Source organism: Homo sapiens, chromosome 1, assembly GCF_000001405.40.
Source record: "Homo sapiens chromosome 1, GRCh38.p14 Primary Assembly".
In the NCBI taxonomy this organism is placed as follows: Eukaryota; Metazoa; Chordata; class Mammalia; order Primates; family Hominidae; genus Homo; species Homo sapiens.
In genome coordinates, this window is record NC_000001.11 from 92217915 (window position 1) to 92245825 (window position 27911).

The following is a 27911-nucleotide window of genomic DNA, read 5'->3' on the forward strand; positions in this document are numbered from 1 at the left end:
AGAAGCCCAGCGACTGCAGAACCCTGCCCCAGGCACCCTGGGCGCTCTGCCCTACCGGCGGCGCCTCTCACTGCTCACGGAACGTTCTGGAAGTTTGGGAAACCCTGAGCGGTCTCTGAGGACCTGGTGAGCAGGTGGGTTTGCAGCGCTGGGGATGAGGCCTCGGCAGACCTGTCTCTTCGCGTTTTTCTTTCTTCGTTCTTCGCCGGCGTAGTGCTCTCTGACTTGCCGAGCTCAGAGCTTTACCTCAGGGCTTTGGCGGGTGAGGGGAGGAGATCCTGCCCACCCTATTTTCCCCTTGAGAATCGGTGTGGAAAGGGCTCCCTCGGGGTTTTCCCTGTCAGAAGTCCGTCACCCACCTGCGAGTGTAAATTTTATTTGCTTTAGGCTTTGTTGGTCACTCCGAAAAGTAAAGAATGGAAGAGACCGTGAAGATCCTTGTAGGCCGGCGCCTCACTGGACCCGTGAGGAGACTGAGCAGGGAAAGTGACTTGCTGGAGATGATGGGGCAGTGTTAAACTTAAATTTGCAAACACTCCAGAGCTTGGAAAAAACAAAACAGTAGCAACAAAAGCCCAGAATACCAGGGCCTTGGAACTGGCAAAGGTTTAAGAGGCCACTGGGCCCACGCTTTTTGTTTTTATTTTTAATTTAACTTTTATGTTAGGTTCAGGAGTCCGTGTGCAGGTGTGTTACATAGGTTAAACTCGTGTCACGGGAGTTTGTTGTCCAGATTCTGTCGTCCCCCAGGTGCCCATTAGTGACTGTCCCTCCTCCACCTTCTGGTCCCCCGGTCCCGTCCCCCGCGCCTGCCCCTCCCCTCTGTCCCTGCACGCTCAGCGTTCACCTCCCGTTTAGAAGCTTTTTGTTTTCAGGTGAGGATGCAGCCTAACCAGAGGTGACGTGATTTGCCCAAAGCCACACAGTCCTTGCTTGGCTGCTGGTCGAGGAGCTTTTCCCCAGAAATGCTGAGAAGGCACTGCCCCAGCCCCAGGTTTCTGATTCATTCCTCACCTTTAACAGGGACTTGGGACACGACTGACCCCACTCCTTTCTCACTTATTGTGCACGTGATTACTTTACTTCTCTTAGCTTTAGTTAAATTGTTTTTAAAACCTATGTATAAGGGTGTAAAGATTTAAATGAACATTTATGGATTACTAACTGATAGGCACAAACATACATATCCACATACATACCAGTAACTACTCCAAAAAGTTCTTGTAACCTTTGCATATATGTATTCATAGCTATGTGGGTGTATTAGTAAGTATGTGTAGGGGGGGTTATAGAAGTTGAAGCCCTTCCCCCAGCCAACTCACCATTTACTCATTCACAAATCTTTGAGTGTCTACTGAGTGCCAGGTGCTGAGTAAGGTAAAACAGAATCAGAATGTGTCCCTGCTCTCATGGAGCTAGTTAACTTCTCATTCATTCATTCATGCAATAAATGAGGAAATTAGAGAGCAGCTGGTTTCAACTCAGCAGGAAGAACTTTCTAATTATTAAAGTTGTTGAAAAGTAGAATGAAATCACCTTGGGAGATACTAACTTACCATCACTGAAAGTGACTTTCTCTTTCTTTTTTTTTTTTTTTTTTTTTTTTTAAGACAGAGTCTCGCTCTATCACCCACGCTGGAGTGCAGGAATGGGATCTCAGGTCACTGCAACCTCCACCTCCTGGGTGTGCAGCCACACCTAAGGAATGGGGAGTTATATTCCCCACCCCCACTGTTTAATATTTTTAGAGACAGGGTCTTGCTATGTTGCCCAGGCTGGAGTACAGTTGTTATTTACAGGTGCAAACATAATGCACTGCAGCCTCAAACTCTTGGCCTTAAGCAATCCTCCTGCTTCAGTCTCCCGAGTAGCTTGAATTATAGGTGTGTGCCACTGTGCCCAGCTCCATGCTCCTGTTCTTAAGGTTGGAGTATATATACATAAATTTTTTGGAATTATTCTGCACAGATTTGTCTCTTCTCCATTTATTGGTTTGTTCAAACCTTTATATCAGTATAGACTCATGGATATTCACTTTATACTTTGGATTATAATGCTATTTTATTTTGCTCAAATTGTTCCAGCTTTAGCCATTGGGAGCTCTTTCAGTTGGTTCCTGTGCTCTTATGACATGCCCCATCAATGCCATCTGTGTGGGGTTTTTTTGTTTGTTTGTTTTTGTTTTTAAGTACTTTCTTTTTGGCACTACTCTGGACTCATCTTGTATGTTTCCTGTCCCAGTCCTAGAATCGACCATTTCTCCAAGGAGCCCTGGTTCCTTTTTTGGAGAATGCTATTTAGAAACCAAAATCTGGGTGCTAGGTGTACTTGTTGCTAGCACCCAGGTGCTAGGGTGTCGTTTGTTTTAGGCCCTTTCAGCTAACAGAGTAAAGAAATAGATGTGTGTGTACTAATCTGGGTATATACACATACAGTCATGCATTGCTTAATGATGGGGATGTGTTCTGAGAAATGCATCATTAGGTGATTTTGTCATTGTGAGAACATCATAGAGTGTAATTACACAAACTTAGATGGTGTAGTCTACTAGACATCTAGGCTATATGGTATAGCCTATTGCTCCTGGGCTACAAATATGTATAGTATGTTAATGTACTGAATACTGTAGGCAACCTGCATATCTAAACATATCTAAATGTAAAAAAAGTAAAAATACAGTATTATCATCTTGTGGCACCACCAGTCATATATGAAGTCCATTGTTGACTGAACAGTTAATATGCAATGCATGACTGTATCTATAAAATATTTCTGTGTGTATTCTTCTGTATCTATATTAACAATGAGTTCATACTGTGACCGCCAATTCTAACTATGGACCATTCTAGCCTTGAGAGGTAGGATTAAAAAGAGACTTTAAACAAAAGCATGAAGAATGAAGTTTTTAAAAATGCTGTTATGAGCATTCTTGTATAAGTCTCTTAGTACAGATCACATGCATTTCTGTTGAGCATACATTTAGGAGTAGAGTTGCAGAGTTACAGGTTACGAGTATCTTCAACTTTAGTAGATAATGCCTGCCAAGAACTGTGAAAAGTCTTATCCTACTTGCAAGCTAATAAGCTAGCCTGTTACTGTTTTATAGATGCTTGCAGAATATATAAGATGCCTCAGAGACAAAGAATATTTTTAATTCATGGAAAAAGCAGGAATTAAATTAAATCATGACTTGGATAAAGAAAATGAACATATACATCATAGAATACTATGCAGCCATGAAAAGAAAGAAATCATGTCCTTTACAGCAACACGGATGCAGCTGGAGGCCATTATCCTAAGTGAATTAGTGCATGAACAGAAAACCAAATGCCACATGCTCTCACTTATAAGTGGGAGCTAACCATTGAGTACATATGGACATAAAGATACAAACAATAGACAATGGGGACTACTAGAGGGGAGAGGGAGGAAGGAGGATAAGGGCTGAAAAACTACCTTTTGGGTACTGTGCTCACTACCTGGGTTACAGGATCATTTGTACCACAAACCTCAACATCACACAATATACCCATGAAACAAACCTGCACATATACCCCCTGAATCTAAAATAAAAGTTGAAATTTAAAAAGAAATTTTTACCACTGAAACAACATGCTGTAAGAGCAAAGGTGGTATTTTTCTAGCTTTATAAGCAGTGCAGATTATTTTATCTAAAAGTTGAAGATATTTTTCCTTTTGGAAAATAATTGGGATGTGGTAACTTCTGGGACCTTTTTCAGTGAATATCAAAGTGTTTCAAAGAGGTTATTTTTCACTATGCATAACAAGGGATTAGTTTTGCTTTCTTTGCTTGATTTCAACTGCCTGGCATTAATTTTAGTTTCCATAGCAGCAATAGTAAGCAATTGGCATTGGAGTAGCCAGATTTGCTGCAGATACCAGAATCTCACCATAGGAAATATTTTAAGTAGCCCTGGTGTTGGACTCCTGTACTTCTCTTCTGACACAACAGAATTTGCTAATTTTAAAATGACACACTTATCATTATTGAATATTTTCAGAGCTATTTAAAAACCTGTAAGATGGCTGGGTGTGGTGACTCACACCTGTAATCCCAGCACTTTGGGAGTCTAAGGTGGGCAGATCACCTGAGGTCAGGAGTGACCATCCTGGCCAATGTGGCGAAACCCCATCTTAACTAAAAATACAAAAAAAATCAGCCAGGCGTGGTGGCGCACACCTGTGGTCCCAGCTACTTGGGAGGCTGAGGCACGAGAACCACTTGAACCTGGGTGGCGGAGGCTGCTGTGAGCCAAGATCATGCCACTGCACTCCAGCCATAGTGACAGAGTGAGATTCCGTCTCAAAAAATAAATACAGGCATTTGTGTGCATGTGTGTCTATATTGTATAATTTATATGCAGTATAACATATGCATGTATATATAACATATACAACATGCATGTGTATATATAATGTAACATGCATGTATATATAACATATATAACATGCATGTATAACATATGTATGCTGTGATGTTTTGACACATTTATACACCTGTGAAACAATTACTACAATCAATATAGTGAATATACCCATCCCAAAGGTTTCCTCCTTCCCTTCTGTAATCCCACTTTTTTTCCCATTATCCCTTCTTCGGTTTTTTTTTTTTTTTTTTTTTTGTCACTATAGTTTGTATTTCTTTTTTCTTTTTTCTTTTTTTTTTTTTGAGACGGAGTCTTGCTCTGTTGCCCAGGCTGGAGTGCAGTGGCGCCATCTTGGCTCACTGCAAGCTCTGCCTCCCGGGTTCATGCCATTCTCCTGCTTCAGCCTCCCGAGTAGCTGGGACTACAGGCGCCTGCCACCACGCCCGGCTAATTTTTTGTATTTTTAGTAGAGATGGGGTTTCACCATGTTAGCCAGGATGGTCTTAATCTCCTGACCTTGTGATCCGCCCACCTCGGCCTCCCAAAGTGCTGGGATTACAGGTGTGAGCCACGGCGCCTGGCCTATCGTTTGTATTTCTTATATAAAATAAACTATACAATATGTGCTATGCTTTTGGGGGCGGGGGTTGGCATCTTTCCTTCATAATTTTTTAGAGTGACTCGGGTTATGTGTATCAATAGTTCATTCCTTTTTGTTGCTGAGTAATACGCCATTGTATGAATATATTACAATGTCCATTCACCTGTTGGGGGGCATTTGGGTTGTTTCTAGTCTTTGGTTACTACAAATAAATCATTCATGTGTAAATCCTTGTATAGATGTATGCTTTCTATTTTCTTTGGTAAATTACCTAGGAGTAAAATGGCTGGATATCATGGTAAGTATATGATTAACTTTTTAAGAAAATGTCAAACTATTTTCCAAGTGCTTGTACCATATACTTTCCAATTAGTAGTGTATGAGAGTTCTAGTTCCTCACATCCTCACCAACACTTGATACTGTTAGTTTGTTAAATTTTAGCCATTATAATAGGTATGTAGTGGTATCTTGTAGCTTTAATTTGCATTTCCCTAATAATAATGTTGACTATCTTTTTATGTCCTTATTTGCCACTTATATATCTTCTTTGGTGAATAACCTGCTTAAATCTTTAATTGGGTTGTTTGGTTTTTTACTATTGAGCCTTGAGTGTCTTTTTGTTTTTGTTTTTGTTTTGTTTTGTTTTTTGAGAAAGTCTTGCTCTGTTGCCCAGGCTGGAGTACAATGGCACGATCTCAGCTCACTGCAACCTCTGCCTTCTGGGCTCAAGCGATTCTCCTGCTTCAGCCTTCTGAGTAGCTGTGGACTACAGGTACGCACCACCACGCCTGGCTAATTTTTGTATTTTTAGTAGAAATGGGTTTTCACCATGTTGGCCAGGATGGTCTCAAACTCCTAGCCTCAAGTGATCCACATGCCTCAGCCTCCCAAAGTGCTGGGATTACAGGCCTGAGCCACCATGCCGAGCCCAAGCCTTAAGGGTCTTTAAAAATATATTCGGGGTACAAGTCATTTACCAGATATTTGCTTTGCAGATATTTTCTTCCAGTCTCTAGCTTGTCTTTTTATTGCCCTTAAGAGTGTCTTTTTAAACATTTTTATAAATGTAGGTGTTACTGGTGCAGTTTTGTTGTTGTTGTTGTTTTATTTTATTTATTTATTTATTTATTTATTTATTTATTTATTTATTTATTTATTTATTTTGAGACGGAGTCTTGCTCTGTCGCCCAGGCTGGAGTGCAGTGGCATGAACTCGGCTCACTGCAAGCTCCTCCTCCCAGGGTCACACCATTCTCCTGCCTCAGCCTCCCGAGGAGCTGGGACTACAGGCGCCCACCACCACACCTGGCTAATTTTTTGTATTTTTAGTGGAGACAGGTTGTCACTGTTAGCCAGGATGGTCTTGATCTCCTGACCTCATGATCTGCTCGCCTCAGCCTCCCAAGGTGCTGGGATTACAGGCATGAGCCACCATGCTCGGCCAGAGAGAAGTTTTTAACTTAGATTAAGTCCAGTTTATCAATTTGTTTTCTTTTATGGATTGTGTTTCTGGTGTCATACTAAAAATTATTTACCTAACTCAGGGTCACAATTATTATGTCCTATTTTCCTCTAGGAGACTTACAGTTTTATGTTTTACATGTAGGCCTATGATTCATTCTGAGTTAAATTTTGGATATGGTGTACGGAATGGATCCGAGTTCATTTTCTAAAACATACTGATGTTGAATTGTTCCAACACCGTTTATCGTAAAGACAGTCTAGCTCAATGTTTATCAATGTTGTTGATCTTTTCAAAGAACTGTTTTCTTTATTCTTTCTATTTTTATTCCATTGATTTCTGCTTTAATCTTTATTACTTTTTTTCCCATTGCTTTGGGTTTAATTTGTTCTTCTTTTTTTTCGTTTGAGACGGAGTCTTGCTCTGTCACCAGGCTGGCGATCTCGGCTCACTGCAACCTCTGCCTCCTGGGTTCAAGCAATTCTCCTGCCTCAGCCTCCGGAGTAGCTGGGACTACAGGCGCGTGCCACCACGCCCAGCTGATTTTTGTAGTTTTAGTGGAGACGGGGTTTCACCATGTTGGCTAGGTTGGTCTCCATCTCTTGACCTCGTGATTTGCCCACCTCGGCCTCCCAAAGCTCTGGGATTACAGGCATGAGCCACCGTGCCCGGCTTGTTCCTATTTTAAGATAAGATGGAATAAGGTATTAATTTGACATCATTCTTCTTTTCCGGTTTAGCCTCTTTTTTTTTTTTTTTTTTCTTGAGACAGGGTCTCACTCTGTCACCCAGTCTAGCTAGTGTGCAGTGGAGCAGTCATCTCAACCTCCCCAGGCTCAGGTGATCCTCCCTCCTCAGCCTCCCACGTAGCTGGGACTAGAGTTGTGTGCCACCATACCCAGCTAATTTTTGTACTTTTTTGTAGAGATGGGGTTTTGCCCTGTTGCCCAAGCTGGGCACAAACTCCTGGGCTCCAGCAGTACACTGGCCTTGGCTCCCCAAAGTGTTGGGATTACAGGCGTGAGCCACTGCACTCAGCCTAATTTAGTCTTTTAAAGCTATGTGTTTCCCTCTAAGTACTCCTTTAGTTACATTTCATAAATTTTTATGTTTTATGTTTGTTTTCACTCATTTCAAAATATTGCCTAACATCCATTATGATTTATTCTTTGATCTATGGGTTACTTAGAAGTGTGTGTTTGATTTCCAAGTATTCATGGCTTTCCCTCAAATTTTTTATTTATATTGATTTTTAATTTAATTTTATTGTAGTTTGTATGACTTTTGTTTCATGTATTTTGGAGGTCTGTTAGATGAATATATAATATATAAGGAATGTATGTATCAGGATATACATTGTTATATATTCCTGATATATTGACCTTTTTATCATTATAATACATCCCTCTTTGTCTCAGTTGATATTTATCTTAAAGTCTATTTTGTTTTTTTATCAGTATAGCCACTCCAGCTCTCTTACGGTTACTGTTTGCATGATATATCTTTTTCCATTCTTTTACTTTCAACCTATTTGTATCCTTGAATCTAAAGACAACATATAGTTGGATTTTGGTTTGACTGTAAAATCTTATCCATTCACATTTTAATGTAATTACTCAGTATTGCTGACTGCTATTTAAAAAATTTTTAAATTGAGATATAAGTCATGTGACATTAAATACATTTTAAAATGTACAAGTCAGTGATTTTTAGTACATCCACTGTGAGGTACAACCGTCACCACTATTAAGTCTGCCATTTTGCTATTTAGTTTCTAAATGTCTCATGTCTCTTTTGTTCCTTTGTTCCTTCTTTACTACCTCTTTCGTGTTATAGGAATATTTTGTAGTACACCACTTTGATTCCTCTGACTTCTAAATTTTTTTTGTTATTTTCTTAGTACTTTCTCTGGATACTATAATATGCATCTTAATTATTTCAGATTAACGCTAAATTCTGGAAAAATAGAGAAACTTTGCACCAATATAGCTCCATTTCCTCCCGATATACTCACATGCATACATGCACGCATGCACACACACACACACATACACACACACACACACTTGACCCAATAATATAATTACTGCTTTATATATTCATCTTTTAGAGAAATTAAGAGAACTGAGGAAAATACGTATTTATTTAGTCTTACATTTATGCATCTATTTACCACTTATGGTTCTCTTCATTCTTAACATGGATGCAAGTTAACATATGGTAGCAACTTTCTTTTGGTTAATGGTTGTGTGGTATATGTTTTCCCATCCTTTTACTTTCACCCTTTTTATATCTTAGTAGTTAAAGTGTTTTTATTGTAAGCAGCATATGGTTTTTCCCTTGTCATTTGGGGCAATCTTTTCTTTCAGTTGTAGAATTTAGTCTTATATGTAGATACTGATGTATTTGGGTTTAGTATGCCATGTCACTATTCGTTTTCTATTTGTCCCTCAAGTTATATGTTCTTTTTTCTCTCTCTAGCCTGCTTTTGGACTTCTGAAGTGTTTTTGTTTGTTTGTTTGCTTTAAATCTGTTTTTCTCTATTACCTTGTTGAGTTTTTTAAACCATAATTTGCTGATTAACTCAGAAATTACAAAATGCATGATTGACTTATCAAGATCCACTATAAGTGAGTACTTCTACCACTTCAAGGACCTAAAGCACCTTAGGTACAGTTACCATCATTTCTCCTTTTTTTTGCTATTGTTGTATATTTTAATTGAACATCTATTTTAAACTTCCTTATATATTATTGTTCTTATTTGTAGTCATTCTTGATTTAGAGTTACCCACATATTTACAGTTCTCCTTTCCATTAGTCTTCATTTATTCTGGCATCTTTGTGCTTCCATGTGGGATCATTTGCCTTGTGCCTAAAGAACTTATGGTATTTGGCCGGGCGTGGTGGCTCAAGCCTGTAATTCCAGCACTTTGGGAGGCCGAGGCGGGCGGATCACGAAGTCAGGAGTTTGAGACCATCCTGGCCAACATGGTGAAACCCTGTCTCTACTAAAAATACAAAAAAATTAGTCAGGCGTGGTGGCGCCTGTAGTCCCAGCTACTCAGGAGGCTGAGGCAGGAGAATGGCGTGAACCCGGGAGGCGGAGGTTGCAGTGAGCCGAGATCACGCCACTGCACTCCAGCCTGGGTGACAGAGCGAGACTCCATCTCAAAAAAAATAAAAATAAAAATAAAGAACTTCTCCTGGTATCTTCTTTAAGTGTGGGTCTACTGATGATGAAGTCTCTGATTTTATTTTTGTCATAAAATTTTTCTTTATTTCTCCCTCATTTTAAAAACATATTAATCTCAGCTATGATATCCTATGTTGACAATTATTTCCTTTCACCACTTAAAAGCTATTATTCAGTTGCCTCCTAGCTACCATGTTTCTATTGAGAAGTCAGTTTTCAGTTTATTGTTTCCCTTTAAAAATAATACACCTTTTTTCACTGGCTCCTTTGAAGATTTTTTTTTTTTTGGTTTTACTTTGTTAATCTGTTGCTTAGTTTAATCTGTTCAGATTTATTATTGCTCTTGAACCTACAACTTGATGTCTGTAGTCAATTTTGGAAAATTGACTTGGCCACTCTATTTTTATGTATTGGTCCTGCTCCATTCTCTTTTCTCTTTCTCAGACTTCAGTTATCTCTCTGTTAGACCATTTCACAAGCCTAATAATGCCTTGTGTGTGTATTATGCTTTTCTCTGTGTTCTTTATCCTTTTGCTTAACCTACCTCAGTCTGGATATTTTCCTCTGACCTACATTCCACACTTGTGTTTAACCTGCTCTTTAACCTATCCATTAAATTGTTTCCAATTTTGATATTTTTTCATTTCCAGAATTTCCATTTTATTTACTTTTACAGTTTCAAATTTTCTGCCAAAATGCTCCAATTGTCATATACTGCTTTGAACAAATTAATCATTTATAGTCTGGATATGACAATGCCAGTATTTCAGTCTCCCCTTGGTCTCTTCATTACAGTCAGCTTTTTCCTCTTGGTTTTCAGTCTGTTCTTAACTCTTTGTATGCCTGGGTATTTTTTTATTGTGTGCTGGGTGTTATGATTGCAAAATTATAACACTAATTTGTAACCTAAGGCTCTGGATAATATCTTCCTCCATAGGGGATTTACTTTTGCTTCTGGCAGAGAGTTTTTCTAGATACAGCTGTGACTCTCCAGATTGTCTGATTGAAAGGACAGAAACAACTGGTTCAGGAGCCCTTGCCAGCCTCTAGAGAAATCCCAGAACACTCAGCCCTGACACATTAATACCCTGCACAGATCGGAGACTGCTGGCCTTGCAGACTCACCAAGCCACAGACTTGTCTTCCGCAAGCATGTTCTTACCTCAGCCACGAAGTGACCAAGCCACATGTACTAAGGGTTGAAATCAAAGATATGTACAGGGTATTAAACAAATACCAAGGGGAACAGTTAACTTGAATACAAGGTCAAAATCAGCAACAAGTTCTATGATCCAGTGCTGATATCAGATACTAGCTTCAAGGACAATTTCTTTTCGAAGGCTTATTCCAGATTCGTGAGGCTAGCATGAGATGTATGCATTTGCCAGGGACAAATTTATACTTCTGAATTAACCCATGCAGCAAAAGCTATGCATCTGCTCACAGTCTATTTAGAAGCATTTGTGGTGAACAGTGGAGGGGCCCAACTTGTCATACTCCTGCTTGCTAGTGCACATCTGCTGGAAGGTGGACAGTGAGGTCAGGATGGAGCCGCCGATCCACACCGAGTACTTTCGCTCTCGGGGTGCAATGATCTTGATCTTCATGGTGCTAGGTGCCAGGGCAGTGATTGCCTTCTGCATCCTGTTGGTGATGTCTGGGTACATGGTGGTGCCGCTGGACAGCACTGTGTTGGCGTACAGGTCTTTGAAGATGTCCACATCACACTTCATGATGCAGTTGAAGGTGGTCTTGTGGGTGCCACAGGATTCCATGCCCAGGAAGGAAGACTGGAACAGCACCTCCGGACACCGGAACCGTTCGTTGCCGATGGTGATGACCTGGCCGTCGGGCAGCTTGTAGCTCTTCTCCAGCTTTTTGTCATCAGCTGTAGCTGTTCTTTGTACCATCTTCTTTCTGTGAGCTGTACCCTTGTCCCCATTCTGGACCTGATCCGGAAGTTTGGCTAACTTTTCTTGATTTGTGCTGTTGGTTAATCTGAAGCAGAGAAGGTCTTCCAACTCCAGTGTGCAGCAAGAACAAGATGGCTGCCCAGGAAGATTTCTTAAATAAGAAACAAAACCTACTAACCATAAATGAAAAGATTGATAAATTTGACTACATTGGAAATAATAATTTGTGTGTATCAAGAATTACCCTAAAGAAGGGGGGGTGGCACAGAAGACAAGTCACAAACAGGTAGAAAATACATAGCCAACAAAGGACTGATATCTATAATATACAAAGAAATCCTACAAATATATAAGAAAAAGAAAAAAGTAATAGGAAAATGGGCAAAAGACATGTGGAGATATGACTTTAGGGTTTTCAGTCTCAATGAAATTAGAAAAGTAGCAGATTTAGAGCTCAGTGAGATTCCATTTCATGCTACTAAGTTTATGGTAATTTTCTTCTCACCTCATACGTATACTATAAACTTTAGCACGCTGAACTTAAATGCAATTTTGTTTTACTGTATACCTGGTTGCCACTGTATGGTGCATTGTTGTTGTTGTTCTGCAGAATATTCTCCCTTCTCTTAGTGCAGTGGTTCTTAAAGTGTGGTCCCCAGACCAGTATCATCAGCATCACCTGTGTACCTCTTAGAACTGCAGATATTGGCCAGGTGCAGTGGCTCACACTTGTAATCCTGACACTTTAGGAGGTTGAGGTGGGAGGGTCGCTTGAAGCCAGAGTTCAAGACTGGTTTGGCCAACGTAGGGAGACCTGCCCCCGATCTCCACAATAAGTTAAAAAAAAAAAAAAATTGGCCAGGCGCGATGGCTCATGCCTGTAATCCCAGCACTTTGGGAGGCCGAGGCGGGTGGATCACAAGGTCAGGAGATTGAGACCATCCTGGCTAACACAGTGAAACCCCGTCTCCACTAAAAATACAAAAAAAAGATTAGCTGGGTGTGGTGGGGGGCGCCTGTGTTTCCAGCTACTTGGGAGGCTGAGGCAGGAGAATGGCATGAACCTGGGAGGCGGAGCTTGCAGTGAGCCGAGATTGCACCACTGCACTCCAGCCTGGGCAACAGAGCAAGATTCCGTCTCAAAAAAAAAAAAAAATCAGCCAGGCATGGTGGTGCATACCTGTAGTCCTAGCTACTTGGGAAGCTGAGGCAGGAGGATTGCTTGAGCCTAGGAGTTTGAGGCTAGGATCGCACCCCTGTACTCCAGCCTGTGGGTAAAAGAGTGAGACCCTCTTTAAAAAAAAATGCAAATATTCAGGTCCTACCTCACATATTCCCTATGTGAGATATATAGTATTTCCCTCCATAGTAGAAGACAGGTTTGCTTACAAGATTCAGGTTTCCTAAGCTCTGGGTTTCTTTCCTATAATACAACCCACTGTGTGTGCAGATGTCACCTGGCCTTTGTCCCATCACCCTGTGGGAATTGGGCTTGAGGAACTAGTGTAAGAAAATAATGGTGCTGTGGCTATACTGCTATTGCTCTGAGTGAAAAACTGTCCTTTGTCTCTGAGTCTGTCTTTTATCTGTATAAGTGAAACTCTGGCAGGCTAACTTTTTAGCTTGCAGGTAGGATAAAAACCTCAGACCTTGCGTGTTCTTGATGCAAGTCCTCATTCTTTGAAGTTAGTGTGCTGAAATGGGAATCATTGCTTTTGATACTTGTTAATGGGAAGCATAGTATTGAATAGGCTAAATGTATAACAAGACAGATACTTTTTCTGTTGTCAAATTTTGATGTTCAAATATTCTTTAAAATGTCTCCAATACCCTAGTTTTATTTCCATCTTTAATTTACTCATTCATCAGATATTTCTTTGCATTCTTTGTGTTCTTAATTTTCTCAGATTGTTGCACCATTAGAAGCTAGGTTGATCCACAGACAGATGGCTGAAAGTGGAAAAGAAAAAATAAAATGGACAACCACCATTATTATTAGCTCATCTCTTAAGGTAAAGGGGCATTTGGGCCACTGATCTTTAACTTAAAAAAATTAAAAGCAGCTTTCATATAGAACAACATTTTAAAAGGTTCTTAGCTTAATTATCCACAATTAATTGTGGGGAGCAGGAAGTACATAAGCTAAATGTATTTTAAAGATAAATTAATAGACTTTTTCCATTCATTTTCAACATCCGACTTCCTTAATTCTTTGAAGGTTGGAGATTTTCTAAAGTTTTTTTTTTTTTCCTTCTGTAAGCACTCTAATAGAGATGTTAAGGAATTCCGGAAACAGTAAAGATATGCAAATATATATTAGTTAAGGCTTTCTGAGAGCTAAAGAACCAGAAACTGATATCCTAGCCTTGGCAGCACTGGAATGAGACTGTCTCCTTATGGTTTGGAGAGGGAGAGATGGAAAGTTGAATGCCTGAGAGCAGGTGGTCAGCTCACAACCGTTTTAAACTCCTCAGCTCACAAGACTTCTCCATTGCCCTGATATTTATCTTACGGACACCAGCTGATGTCTGGAATGAAGGGGCAAGAAATGATTGTTCCATAGTAACGTGTGGTTTTATGCTTTTTGCTGTATTTTGTTTTATACTTTGTTGTGAGTCCATTTTCATAAATTATATATATTTTTATTATTATACTTTAAGTTTTAGGGTACATGTGCACAGTGTGCAGATTAGTTACATACATATATATGTGACATGCTGGTGCGCTGCACCCACTAACTCGTCATCTAGCATTAGGTATATCTCCCAATGCTATCCGTCCTCCCTCCCCCCACCCCACAACAGTCCCCAGAGTGTGATGTTCCCCTTCCTGCGTCCATGTGTTCTCATTGTTCAATTTCCACCTATGAGTGAGAACATGCGGTGTTTGGTTTTTTGTCCTTGCGATAGTTTGCTGAGAATGATGGTTTCCACCTTCATCCATGTCCCTACAAAGGACATGAACTCATCATTTTTTGTGGCTGCATAGTATTCCATGGTGTATATGTGCCACATTTTCTTAATCCAGTCTATCATTGTTGGACATTTGGGTTGGTTCCAAGTCTTTGCTATTGTGAATAGTGCCGCAGTAAACATACGTGTACATGTGTCTTTATAGCAGCATGATTTATAGTCCTTTGGGTATTACCCAGTAATGGGATGGCTGGGTCAAATGGTATTTCTAGTTCTAGATCCCTGAGGAATCACCACACTGTCTTCCACAATGGTTGAACTAGTTTACAGTCCCACCAACAGTGTAAAAGTGTTCCTATTTCTCCACATCCTCTCCAGCACCTGTTGTTTCCTGACTTTTTAATGATTGCCATTCTAACTGGTGTGAGATGATATCTCATAGTGGTTTTGATTTGCATTTCTCTGATGGCCAGTGATGGTGAGCATTTTTTCATGTGTTTTTTGGCTGCATAAATGTCTTCTTTTGGGAAGTGTCTGTTCATGTCCTTCACCCACTTTTTGATGGGGTTGTTTGTTTTTTTCTTGTAGATTTGTTTGAGTTCATTGTAGATTCTGGATATTAGCCCTTTGTCAGATGAGTAGGTTGTGAAAATTTTCTCCCATTTTGTGGGTTGCCTGTTCACTCTGATGGTAGTTTCTTTTACTGTGCAGAAGCTCTTTAGTTTAATTAGATCCCATTTGTCAATTTTGGCTTTTGTTGCCATTGCTTTTGGTATTGTAGACGTGAAGTCCTTGCCCATGCCTATGTCTTGGGTGGTAATACCTAGGTTTTCTTCTAGGGTTTTTATGATTTTAGGTCTAACGTTTAAGTCTTTAATCCATCTTGAATTGATTTTTGTATAAGGTGTAAGGAAGGGATCCAGTTTCAGCTTTCTACATATGGCTAGCCAGTTTTCCCAGCACCATTTATTAAATAGGGAATCCTTTCCCCATTGCTTGTTTTTCTCAGGTTTGTCAAAGATCAGATAGTTGTAGATATGCGGCGTTATTTCTGAGGGCTGTGTTCTGTTCCGTTGATCTATATCTCTGTTTTGGTACCAGTACCATGCTGTTTTGGTTACTGTAGCCTTGTAGTATAGTTTGAAGTCAGGTAGTGTGATGCCTCCAGCTTTGTTCTTTTGGCTTAGGATTGACTTGGCAATGAGGGCTCTTTTTTGGTTCCATGTGAACTTTAAAGTAGTTTTTTCCAATTCTGTGAAGAAAGTCATTGGTAGCTTGATGGGGATGGCATTGAATCTATAAATTACCTTGGGCAGTATGGCCATTTTCCCGATATTGATTCTTCCTACCCATGAGCATGGAATGTTCTTCCATTTGTTTGTATCTTCTTTAATTTCATTGAGCAGTGGTTTGTAGTTCTCCTTGAAGAGGTCCTTCACATCCCTTGTAAGGTGGATTCCTAGGTATTTTATTCTCTTTGTAGCAATTGTGAATGGGAGTTTGCTCATGATTTGGCTCTCTGTTTGTCTGTTATTGGTGTGTAAGAATGCCTGTGATTTTTGTACATTGATTTTGTATCCTGAGACTTTGCTGAAGTTGCTTATCAGCTTAAGGAGATTTTGGGCTGAGACGATGGGGTTTTCTAGATACACAATCATGTCATCTGCAAACAGGGACAATTTGACTTCCTCTTTTCCTAATTGAATAGCCTTTATTTCCTTCTCCTGCCTAATTGCCCTGGCCAGAACTTCCAACACTATGTTGAATAGGAGTGGTGAGAGAGGGCATCCCTGTCTTGTGCCAGTTTTCAAAGGGAATGCTTCCAGTTTTTGCCCATTGAGTATGATATTGCCTGTGGGTTTGTCATAGATAGCTGTTATTATTTTGAGATACGTCCCATCAATACCTAATTTATTGAGAGTTTTTAGCATGAAGGGTTGTTGAATTTTGTCAAAGACCTTTTCTGCATCTTTTGAGATAATCATGTGGTTTTTGTCTTTGGTTCTGTTTATATGCTGGATTACATTTATTGATTTGCGTATATTGAACCAGCCTTGCATCCCAGGGATGAGGCCCACTTGATCATGGTGGATAAGCTTTTTGATGTGCTGCTGCATTCGGTTTGCCAGTATTTTATTGAGGATTTTTGCATCAATGTTCATCAAGGATATTGGTCTAAAATTCTCTTTTTTTGTTGTTTCTCTGCCAGGCTTTGGTATCAGGATGATGCTGGCCTCATAAAATGAGTTAGGGAGGATTCCCTCTTTTTCTATTGATTGGAATAGTTTCAGAAGGAATGGTACCATCTCCTCCTTTTACCTCTGGTAGAATTAGGCTGTGAATCCATCTGGTCCTGGACTCTTTTTGGTTGGTAAGCTATGGATTATTGCCACAATTTCAGCTCCTGTTATTGGTCTATTCAGAGATTCAACTTCTTCCTGGTTTAGTCTTGGGAGAGTGTATGTGTCGAGGAATTTATCCATTTATTCTAGATTTTCTAGTTTATTTGCATAGAGGTGTTTGTAGTATTCTCTGATGGTAGTTTGTATTTCTGTGGGATCAGTGGTGATATCCCCTTTATCATTTTTTATTGTGTCTATTTGATTCTTCTCTCTTTTTTTCTTTTAGTCTTGCTAGCGGTCTATCAATTTTGTTGATCCTTTCAAAAAACCAGCTCCTGGATTCATTAATTTTTTGAAGGGTTTTTTGTGTCTCTATTTCCTTCACTTCTGCTCTGATTTTAGTTATTTCTTGCCTTCTGCTAGCTTTTGAATGTGTTTGCTCTTGCTTTTCTAGTTCTTTTAATTGTGATGTTAGGGTGTCAGTTTTGGATCTTTCCTGCTTTCTCTTGTGGGCATTTAGTGCTATAAATTTCCCTCTACACACTGCTTTGAATGTGTCCCAGAGATTCTGGTATGTTGCGTCTTTGTTCTCATTGGTTTCAAAGAACATCTTTATTTCTGCCTTCATTTCATTATGTACCCTGTAGTCATTCAGGAGCAGGTTGTTCAGTTTCCATGTAGTTGAGCAGTTTTGAGTGAGTTTCTTAATCCTGAGTTCTAGTTTGATTGCACTGTGGTCTGAGAGATAGTTTGTTATAATTTCTGTTCTTTTACATTTGCTGAGGAGAGCTTTACTTCCAACTATGTGGTCAGTTTTGGAATAGGTGTGGTGTGGTGCTGAAGAAAATGTATATTCTGTTGATTTGGGGTGGAGAGTTCTGTAGATGTCTGTTATGTCTGCTTGGTGTAGAGCTGAGTTCAATTCCTGGGTATCCTTGTTGACTTTCTGTCTCGTTGATCTGTCTAATGTTGACAGTGGGGTGTTAAAGTCTCCCATTATTAGTGTGTGGGCGTCTAAGTCTCTTTGTAGGTCACTCAGGACTTGCTTTATGAATCTGGATGCTCCTGTATTGGGTGCATATATATTTAGGATAGTTAGCTCCTCTTGTTGAATTGATCCCTTTACCATTATGTAATGGCCTTCTTTGTCTCTTTTGATCTTTGTTGGTTTAAAGTCTGTTTTATCAGAGACTAGGATTGCAACCCCTGCCTTTTTTTGTTTTCCATTTGTTTGGTAGATCTTCCTCCATCCTTTTATTTTGAGCCTATGTGTGTCTCTGCATGTGAGATGGGTTTCCTGAATACAGCACACCGATGGGTCTTGACTCTATCCAATTTGCCATTCTGTGTCTTTTAATTGGAGCATTTAGCCCATTTACATTTAAGGTTAATATTGTTATGTGTGAATTTGATCCTGTCATTATGATGTTAGCTGGTTATTTTGCTCGTTAGTTGATGCAGTTTCTTCCTAGTCTCGATGGTCTTTACATTTTGGCATGATTTTGCAGCGGCTGGTACCGGTTGTTCCTTTCCATGTTTAGTGCTTCCTTTGGGAGCTCTTTTAGGGCAGGCCTGCTGGTGACAAAATCTCTCAGCATTTGCTTGTCTGTAAAGGATTTTATTTCTCCTTCACTTATGAAGCGTAGTTTGGCTGGATATGAAATTCTGGGTTGAAAATTCTTTTCTTTAAGAATGTCGAATATTGGCCCCCACTCTCTTCTGGCTTGTAGAGTTTCTGCCTAGAGATCTGCTGTTAGTCTGATGGGCTTCCCTTTGTGGGTAACCCGACCTTTCTCTCTGGCTGCCCTTAACATTTTTTCCTTTATTTCAACTTTGGTGAATCTGACAATTATGTGTCTTGGAGTTGCTCTTCTTGAGGAGTATCTTTGTGGCGTTCTCTGTATTTCCTGAATCTGAATGTTGGCCTGCCTTGCTAGATTGGGGAAGTTCTCCTGGATAATATGCTGCAGAGTGTTTTCCAACTTGGTTCCATTCTCCCCGTCACTTTCAGGTACACCAATCAGACGTAGATTTGGTGTTTTCACATAGTCCCATATTTCTTGCTGGATTTGTTCGTTTCTTTTTATTCTTTTTTCTCTAAACTTCCCTTCTCGCTTCATTTCATTCATTTCATCTTCCATCGCTGATACCCTTTCTTCCAGTTGATCGCGTTGGCTCCTGAGGCTTCTGCATTCTTCACGTACTTCTCGTGCCTTGGCTTTCAGCTCCATCAGCTCCTTTAAGCACTTCTCTGTATTGTTTATTCTAGTTATACGTTCGCCTAAATTTTTTTCAAAGTTTTTAACTTCTTTGCCTTTGGTTTGAATTTCCTCCTGTAGCTCGTAGTTTGATTGTCTGAAGCCTTCTTCTCTCAACTCGTTAAAGTCATTCTCTGTCCAGCTTTGTTCCATTGCTGGTGAGGAACTGTGATCCTTTGGAGGAGGAGAGGTGCTCTGCTTTTTAGAGTTTCCATTTTTTCTGCTCTGTTTTTTCCCCATCTTTGTGGTTTTATCTACTTTTGGTCTTTGATGATGGTGATGTACAGATGGGTTTTTGGTGTGGATGTCCTTTCTGTTTGTTAGTTTTCCTTCTAACAGACAGGACCCTCAGTTGCAGGTCTGTTGAAGTTTGCTAGAGGTCCACTCCAGACCCTGTTTGCCTGTGTATCAGCAGTGGTGTCTGCAGAACAGTGGTTTTTTGTGAACCACGAATGCTGCTGTCTGATCATTCCTCTGGAAGTTTTGTCTCAGAGGAGTACCCGGCCGTATGAGGTGTCAGTCTGCCCCTACTGGGGGGTGCCTCCCAGTTAGGCTGCTCAGGGGTCAGGGATCCACTTGAGGAGGCAGTCTGCCTGTTCTCAGATCTCCAGCTGCGTGCTGGGAGAACCACTGCTCTCTTCAAAGCTCAGATGGAAATGCAGAAATCACCTGTCTTCTGCGTTGCTCATGCTGGGAGCTGTAGACAGGAGCTGTTCCTATTTGGCCATCTTGGCTCCTCCCCCATAAATTATATTTTTACAAACATTTGCCCATTTTATAGAGGCTTTTAAATGTGTTAAGTTGAACTTTATGAAATTTACATTTCTGTGGTGAAAAGTTTCATGTTGTCATTTTTTAAATTTTCTAATCAACTGTTAAGTGCCCCTTTTCATTCCTGTTTTTACTTACATTTTCTTCCTTATGAGTGATAGACATACTAGTTTTTGTTCTTTGTTTTTTTAAGATGGAGTTTTGCTCTGTCGCCGAGGCTGGAGTGCAGTGGCACAGTCTTGGCTCACTGCAACCTCCGCCTCTCGGGCTCAAGTGATTCTCCTGCCTCAGCCTCCCAAGTAGCTGGGATTACAGGTGCCTGCCACCACGCCGGCTAATTTTTGTATTTTTAGTAGAGACGGGGTTTCACCATGTTGGCCAGGCTGGTCTCGAACTCCGATCCCTGCCTGCCCCCACAACCTGCACGATGGCTTCCAAAAGTGCTGGGATTACAGGCTTGAGCCACCACACCTGGCTGACATAATACTAGTTTTAAATATTATTAATAGATGTTACATATGCAGGAAGGAGTATTGTATGGATTTTATTTGGGATGCTGGTATAAAAGTTAAACAAGTGTTTTTTTGTTTTGGTTTGGTTTTCTTTTTACTGCACTATTATTCAGAGACTTTAATATGCTCAAATGCATTGTAAAACCCCAAAAAGAGATGAGATAATATTCAGCATTTCCGAATCTTATTTCAATCCGGAGCATCTTTTAATATCTCATAGGACTAATATTCTATGAAACATATTTTGAAAAATCTATACTTAGCTTCCTGGTCATTTTGATGAATCAGCTCTTGAACTTACTGTTTTCTCAATTCAATACTTTCTAATTTTACCATTTTTTTTTTAAGCATTCCATTATTTTATTCTTTTAGTTGGCTCCTCCTCCTCCTGATAAAAGGATATTATTGAAATTCATTAGCATGATATTTATGGGTGCTCATGATCTGCCTGCAGTTATTCCTAACATTGTACCCAAATTAGCTGACTTGTGTATACCTTACACACTCACCATATAAGAACCATACCTTTAGGTCTGAATGCCTTTACCTATGTTATTCTTTCTGTCCATACTCTTCTCATATTTGTCTTCTTCCTTCACTTGTCTGCTTAATACACTGCTTTTTATTTTAAAGATTTGACTCAGATTTTTTGTTATATTTTTTGTTTATTTTTTAATTAGGGTCTCACTATGTTGCCCAGGCCAGTCTTGAACTCCTGAGCTCAAGCAATCCATTGCCTTGGCCTCCCAAAGTGCTAGGATTATAGGCATGAGCCACTGTGCCTGGCCCTATTTGAATCAAATTTTAGGGAGCTTTCTTAACTCATGTTTTTTACATTTTTAAACATATCTTCTAGTTCTTTGCCAAAATTCTCAAGCTAGGTTTTATCTTCTTGATCATAGTAAACAGGCTGTTTTAAGGTGTGTATTTGATAGATTCACTACATGGATCCCTTGTGGGCCTGTTTCTGTTCTCTATTGTTTCTGATAGTTTTCTTTAATGGAATTGTGTCCCTTTGTATGTCTGATTATTTTTTATTATATGTTGGAATTTGTATTTGAAAAATTGTAGAAATAATTTGAAGCCTAGAATAGTGCTATCTTCCCCTTGAGAGGTTTTAATTCTGTAAGAAAATTAAATTCCTGATGCCCTAAGTAGGGTTGCCAGATAAAATACAGGACACTCAAGTTTGAATTTCCAGCTAGGTGCAGTGGCTCATGCCTATAATCCCAGCACTTTGGGAGGCCAAGGTGGGTGGATCACTTGAGGTCAGGAGTTTTGAGACCAGCCTGGCCAACATGGTGAAACCCTGTCTCTACCAAAAATACAAAAATTAGCCAGGCATGGTGGTGCATGCCTGTAATTCTAGCTACTTGGGAGGCTGAGGCAGGAGAATCATTTGAATCTGGGAGGCAGAGGTTGCAGTGTCCAAGATCATGCCATTGCACTCCAGTCTGGGTGACAGAGTGAGACCCTGTCTCAAAAAAAAAAAAAGTTTGAATTTCAGATAAACAGTGAATTTACTGTAATTATGTCCCAAATATTGCATAGGTCATACTTATATTGAAAATTGCATTGTCACTCATTCACATTTAACTGAGTGTTGTGTATTTTTATTTGCTCAGTCTGACAACCCAACTCCTAAGGCATCTCTTTTATATGATGAATTAAGTTGTATCCTATACATCTAGAGTGTTGAACTAAATTGTCTCCTGTACATCTGGCTATGAGAGAATTGAGAAAATAGTCACTCAGATCATTTTCTTTGTTCCATAATTCAGATGAGGAGACCTGATTGGGAAAGGTTGCTCCAGAGAGTGCTTCTGCAAGGTGCTTGGAAGCACTAGTAATTCACTTATCACCTTAATACAATTTCAGGGATTGAAATGGTTTGAAGCTGGGCTATAGTCCCTGTGAGAGCTGTTCTATTTTCGTCAAAAGATCTGTTCAGCCTCTCTTCTGCCTCTTTCTGAGCTGGCAGATGCCCTCAGGGAAAAAAGTGGCCTAAATACTTGCTCATATATTTGAATTTCTGTGTAGATCTTGGCCTTATAATTTTTTACTATCCTGTTAGCTCTCTGGTGTATTCAAGCAGATTTTAAAAGGTTGTCCAGCTTTTCTAGTTGCCTTCAGCAGGCGGGTTGGCCTAAATTACTTAATCTGCCATTGCTGGAAGCATTATATAATTTTAAAACAGCAGAAGAAAAGAGCCATAGTTAAACTGTAGGTCAGGATCTATCTGAGTGACACAAAATACTCTTTAGAAAAGAAAGGAAGCATGTATTTTTATACATAATTTCAGCCTGTGTGCTTAACATATACATGTTCTGAGGCAAAACAGAAAATAAAATTAATCTACCTAAGAGATTTTTATCTATCTGGAAACTAACAAGTTTGAGTTTTATTTATTATTTTTATTTATTTTTTAATTTTTAGTAGAAAGAAGGTCTCGCTACATTGCCCAGGCTGTTCTCAAACTCCTGGGCTGAAGTGATTCTCTCACCTCAGCCTCCCAAAGTGCTAGGATTACAGGTGTGAGCCATTGTGCCTGGCCAAGTTTAAATTTTAACCTATCAGGAAAAACTATTAACCACCTAGATTTTAGTATTGTGGGTAATATGATTTAATTGCCTGGGTGGAATAGGAAATCAGGTGATATTTGAAATGGTTAGTATTAAAACCAAGAGTCCTATAGCTGTTTTCTTACATGTTTTATGACTCATCTAAGGCTTAAAACATTTTAAAAGTATACTAAAGTAACTGTAATGTAAACTGATGAATTGTCAAATTGGTTGTCTTCTGTGATGGTATTGTATATGTCTGGCACTATGTGGTTCTGTCAACTATTTAAGAAATATACAACCACCTATTTTCCATAGTTATACATTAATGCATGTCAGAATCCATCTCCAAGTTGCTTATTATTATTATTATTATTATTATTATTATTATTATTATTTGAGACAGGGTCTCACTCTGTCACCCAGGCTGGAGTGCAGTGGTGCAATCATGGCTCACTGCAGCCTTAACCTCCCAGGCTCAAGTGATTCTCCCACCTCAGCCTGTGAGTAGCTGGGACTACAGGCATGTGCCACCATGCCCAGCTAATTTTTGTAGAGAAGCAGTTTTGCCATGTTGCCCCGGCTGGTCTTGAACTTCTGGACTCAAATGATCCACCAGCCTTGGCCTCCAAGGTCTCCGTAGCCACCATGCCCAGCCTCCAAGTTGTTTGTTTTTTGAGGTAGAGTCTTGCTCTGTCACCTGGGCTGGAGTGCAGTGGCACAGTCTCAGCTCACTGCAACCTCCACCTCCGAGTTCAAGTGATTTTCCTGCCTCAGCCTCCCAAGTAGCTGGGACTACAGGCATGCATCACCACACCCAGCAAATTTTGGGCTTTTACCATGTTGGTCAGGCTGGTCTCAAATTCCTGACCTCAAATGATCTGCCCACCTTGGCCTCCCAAATTGCTGGGATTTCAGGCATGAGCCACCACCCAAGTTTTTTTTTAAAGTGAAGTTTGCAGCTGGGTGTGGTGACGTACACCTATAGTCCCAGCTACTTTGGGAGGATTGCATGAACTCAGGAGTCTAAAGTCAGCGTGGGCAACAAAGTGAGACTTCATCTGTCTCTAAAAAAGAAAAAGAAATTTGCATTTGCTCTGGTTTATACAGTTTTTTAATGCTGTCTTTAAGTTCTGTTCCTAAGTAACATAACTGTAGTACGTAACTCACTCCCAAACTTGAAATAAATGTTTCAGTAGAACTAAATGTTTTTGCTTTTTTAAAGTTTTTTCTCCATAGAAAGCATATTTATTTATCTTTTGATGATCATATCTTTAAGTGGTAGTTATAAAACAACATATTAAACTTTTAATTTTTTCTTTAGCTTTAATACAATTGTAAGCATGCCTTAAATTTGTATTTCTGATATTTTTTAAAAAAGAGTTATGAAGTTGCAACTGCCCTAGAAAATCGAAGCCACAAAGTTCGATATTCAGATTCAGTGGAAAATGGATCAATTATATTTTCTCTTTCTGGTATGGTATATTTGCTCACTGCCTTAAGTTTCTTATGAAATATGTTGGTATAAATTCTAATGACTTCATAGTTCAGTAACCATGTAATGTATTATCTTTTGGGAAGGGTAAATGTGTAAAACTTTGTTACTACTACAAACAGTCCATATGGCCAATTCCAAAATATATTCCTTTTTAGATTACAATTGTTAAAATAAAGCTGAACTAGTGGAGTCTGGTAGAAGATGGGAAAAAACTACTTTGGAACTGAGATGAAAATAGAAAAAGCCACTTTCCCAACAATCTATACTTACATTAAAGTATTACTTGCATTAACAGAGGACACATTTGTCAAAACTGATATACAAAAAAAATAGAATGTTTTCCATTAATTTTTATAAGAGTTTGCTGGATATAATATAAATATTAACCAAAAGAATCATGGGGACAAATAAATGTTCATGAAATGACAACTGATATAACTGTTAGTCATGGACAAAAGTCCAGTAAGGAATTAGATTAGGATAAGAGAAGGCTGAGGAGATGGGAAGGGGGGAGGTCCACCTGTGCTTGAGAAATGACAGAAGTGATTTTTAAAAAGGTAGAGGTAAAGGATTTTATCTGGAGGGTTGCAAATAGACTCTTCTAGCAGTTTTGGAAGACAAGCACATTCAAAAAAGCTCCTAGAATAGATCTCCAGGCTGAAAGTGGTATCGCCTCAAACTTATTCTTCTGGTTAAATACAGAACCCTCCAGGGAGAAATAAAATATTTGGTGAATATTTGCCTTGGCTACTTCATATACGTGATCTAATTTATCCTTCTGACAAATCTAACAAAAAATTTACTCCCATGTTACAGAAGAGGAAACTTATGTTCAGAGAGGTTATATAAGTTGCCCAAGTTTACTCAATTAGTGTATAATCACAATCATTTTCCTCAGACTGTCTCCCACATCGTTTGAAGAGCTATAATCAAGTTTCCCTTTAGGACCATTCTTAATGGCCTGACACTGTTTCAGAGATTGCAGATATCTGCTCACTGAGTGTATTAATTTATATAATTCTTTTTTTTATTTTTTGAGATGGAGTCTTGCTTTGTTGCCCAGGCTGGAGTGCAGTGGTGTGATCTCAGCTCACTGCAAGCTCCGCCTCCTGGGTTCACACCATTCTCCTGCCTCAGCCTCCTCAGTAGCTGTGATTACAGGCACATACCACCACACCCAGCTAATTTTTGTATTTTTAGTAGAGACAGGGTTTCACCATGTTGGTCAGGCTGGTCTCGAACTCCTGACTTTGTGATCCGCCCACCTCGGCCTCCCAAAGTGCTGGGATTACAGGTGTGAGCCACTGCACCCAGCCAAAGGCTTGCTTAAGACTCTCTTTCTTTAGCTGATTTCCAGCTTTTAAAAATAATTAATAAGAGCCTCTTGGTTGCTGAACACATGGAGGTGTCTGGAGGGTGGCAGGCCCAGAGAAGGCGTTGAAGCTCCATGTCCCTTCCCACATACCTAGCCCTACACATATCTTCATCTGTATCCTTTGTAGTGTCCTTTATAATAAACTAGTACATATTTTAAAAGTATAACATGAAAAATTAACTTTTTAAATGTAATTCATCTTTTTAATGAAAAACTACCCAGTATCTTCATGTGGACAATGTCTTCATCTAGGAAAAAAAAAAAAACAGTAGTTACTGATCCAAAAAAGTTTTTCTCTTATTTAGCACAAGTCATTCTTTTATACAGAGCACTTCAAAGAACTACCTAAATTATTTTGTTGTGTAGGAATTCCATTATAGTACTTTCTATTCCTTATGAGTTTAGGGCTTGGACACATGTGGTATACTTAGTTATTTTGGTTGATTTTGAGTTTATAACAAAATTTCATCTCTATAACAAAGTGACATTTTATATTCAATTCACCTTTCCTAGGAGTTGCATTTTTATTAATGGATACTAAGGAATGTCTTCTGTCAACTGAAGAAATATTTCTAGCCAAAATTGAGAAATTTATTAACATTCACCAAAATAGTTTTTTGGTTTTGTCTGCTGCCCTCCATGGGCCTGAAGAATGGAAACTGATGTTCAGGATTCAGCAGAGGTATGGAAGAATAGCATTATAGACTTATTTTTCTTATATTGTATTTATTTCAGTTCTTAATTCTTTTAGGTAAGTTTTGTTTTGCTAGATGATGAACACTGTGATGTTAACCTATCAAATTTAATGAAACATGGGCCAAATAGCTATTCTATGAATCGAGGTGACAGGGTTCATGATGTTGCAAGGGCTTCTCCAAGACCAAGCCAAAAGTGAACACTTTTTTAGTCAGTGATGTTCTGGCTATAAAGCCATCTCAAATCCTCTGTGGAGTAAGGCAGGGCATGAATGCATAGACAAATAACAAACAATAGAGATTTGTCTCTTCTTTCCACTTTCTTAAGAGAACAGATGTCAGCAAGTTATATGATCTGTATAACATGAATTGTTTTTCAGATTCCTGGGTTGTAACTTACGAATACTTCCAGTACACAACACAGTAAATGCTATTAATCTTATGTGCACTATAGCAAAGGTGAGTCACCCGTGGAATATGACACATACACACATACATTTTAAGGTTTTTAACTTCCAATTGTCACCCTTTTGAGCGAGACTGGCAAATATCATGCTTCTGTTCCCCTGCGGGAGTTGCTGTTTCAGGGTGCAACTTTTTCCCAAGCCTAACTCTCTTAAGTCTTCTCAATTTACTTCCAGTAGCCACTACCATTTAAGACTCACTTGGGGCCAAAAGAGCATTTGGCTGGCCCTATTGGTTACTTATATCTTCATTCAAATTCTAAAGTTATAAGGGTTGGTCAGATTGAAGTCATAAACGGTCAGAGTGCAAGCATACTACCTTATGGAATGTCATCTACCAATTGTCTACTTTCTTTTCTTGCTTTTTGTCCTCTGCAAAGTGTGCCCAGACACCTCCAACCCCCTAGGCAGACTTAGGTCTTCCTTGCTTTTATACTTGGAACATATCCCCATTAAAGCAATTTTTATATATTCTACTTTTTGGCTTGCATGTTTAAAATTCCTTGATAGAAACTAAGTATTTTCCTGTTGACTACTCTAGTAACTCATACATAGTATTTAGCACAAAGATGATCAAGAGATTTGCTGAAAGAATGAAAGTCAGGTATTTTTAAATGTGACCTTGTGAAAATACCTTATTTCTGTAAATAATGCTGCATCTTTATATCTTCTTCCAGACTACCTCCAAACCATACATAGATAGCATTTGCTACAGAATGATAACAGCTAAAGCTTACATCATTGAGCAAAGTCCTGTTTGGAAAACACTTCAGAAGATAAAACTGAATAGTGATTCAGTTAACCCAAATTAGAGTACCAACTTAATGTTTTTCTCGAAGAATGTGAAAATAATTAGACCTGTTAAATTATAATATTCAAATATCTATTTAAAGACATTTATATTAATTTGAAATAATAACATATACAATTAAAAGTGATTTTATTTTAGGAGTTTCGCTGCAA

General features: G+C 39.2%; 1 protein-coding gene and 1 pseudogene across 4 annotated transcripts; one reads left to right on the top strand and one right to left on the bottom strand.

Annotated features, from left to right (window-relative positions):
• On the top strand, window positions 1–27899 carry C1orf146 (chromosome 1 open reading frame 146). Of its 4 annotated transcripts, XM_011541447.3 has the most exons (7): window positions 1–134; window positions 5664–5762; window positions 13468–13572; window positions 24298–24391; window positions 26303–26471; window positions 26865–26943; window positions 27626–27899. In XM_011541447.3, the coding sequence occupies exons 3-7, from the start codon at window positions 13507–13509 to the stop codon at window positions 27758–27760; spliced, it is 543 nt and encodes a 180-aa protein (XP_011539749.1). In that variant the 5' UTR covers window positions 1–134; window positions 5664–5762; window positions 13468–13506; the 3' UTR covers window positions 27761–27899. The 4 variants fall into 4 exon arrangements, with proteins under 4 accessions (XP_011539749.1, NP_001012425.1, XP_047276042.1 ...); NM_001012425.2 differs by lacking the exon at window positions 5664–5762; XM_047420086.1 differs by lacking the exons at window positions 5664–5762; window positions 13468–13572; window positions 24298–24391.
• On the bottom strand, window positions 11088–11521 carry ACTBP12 (ACTB pseudogene 12; annotated as a pseudogene).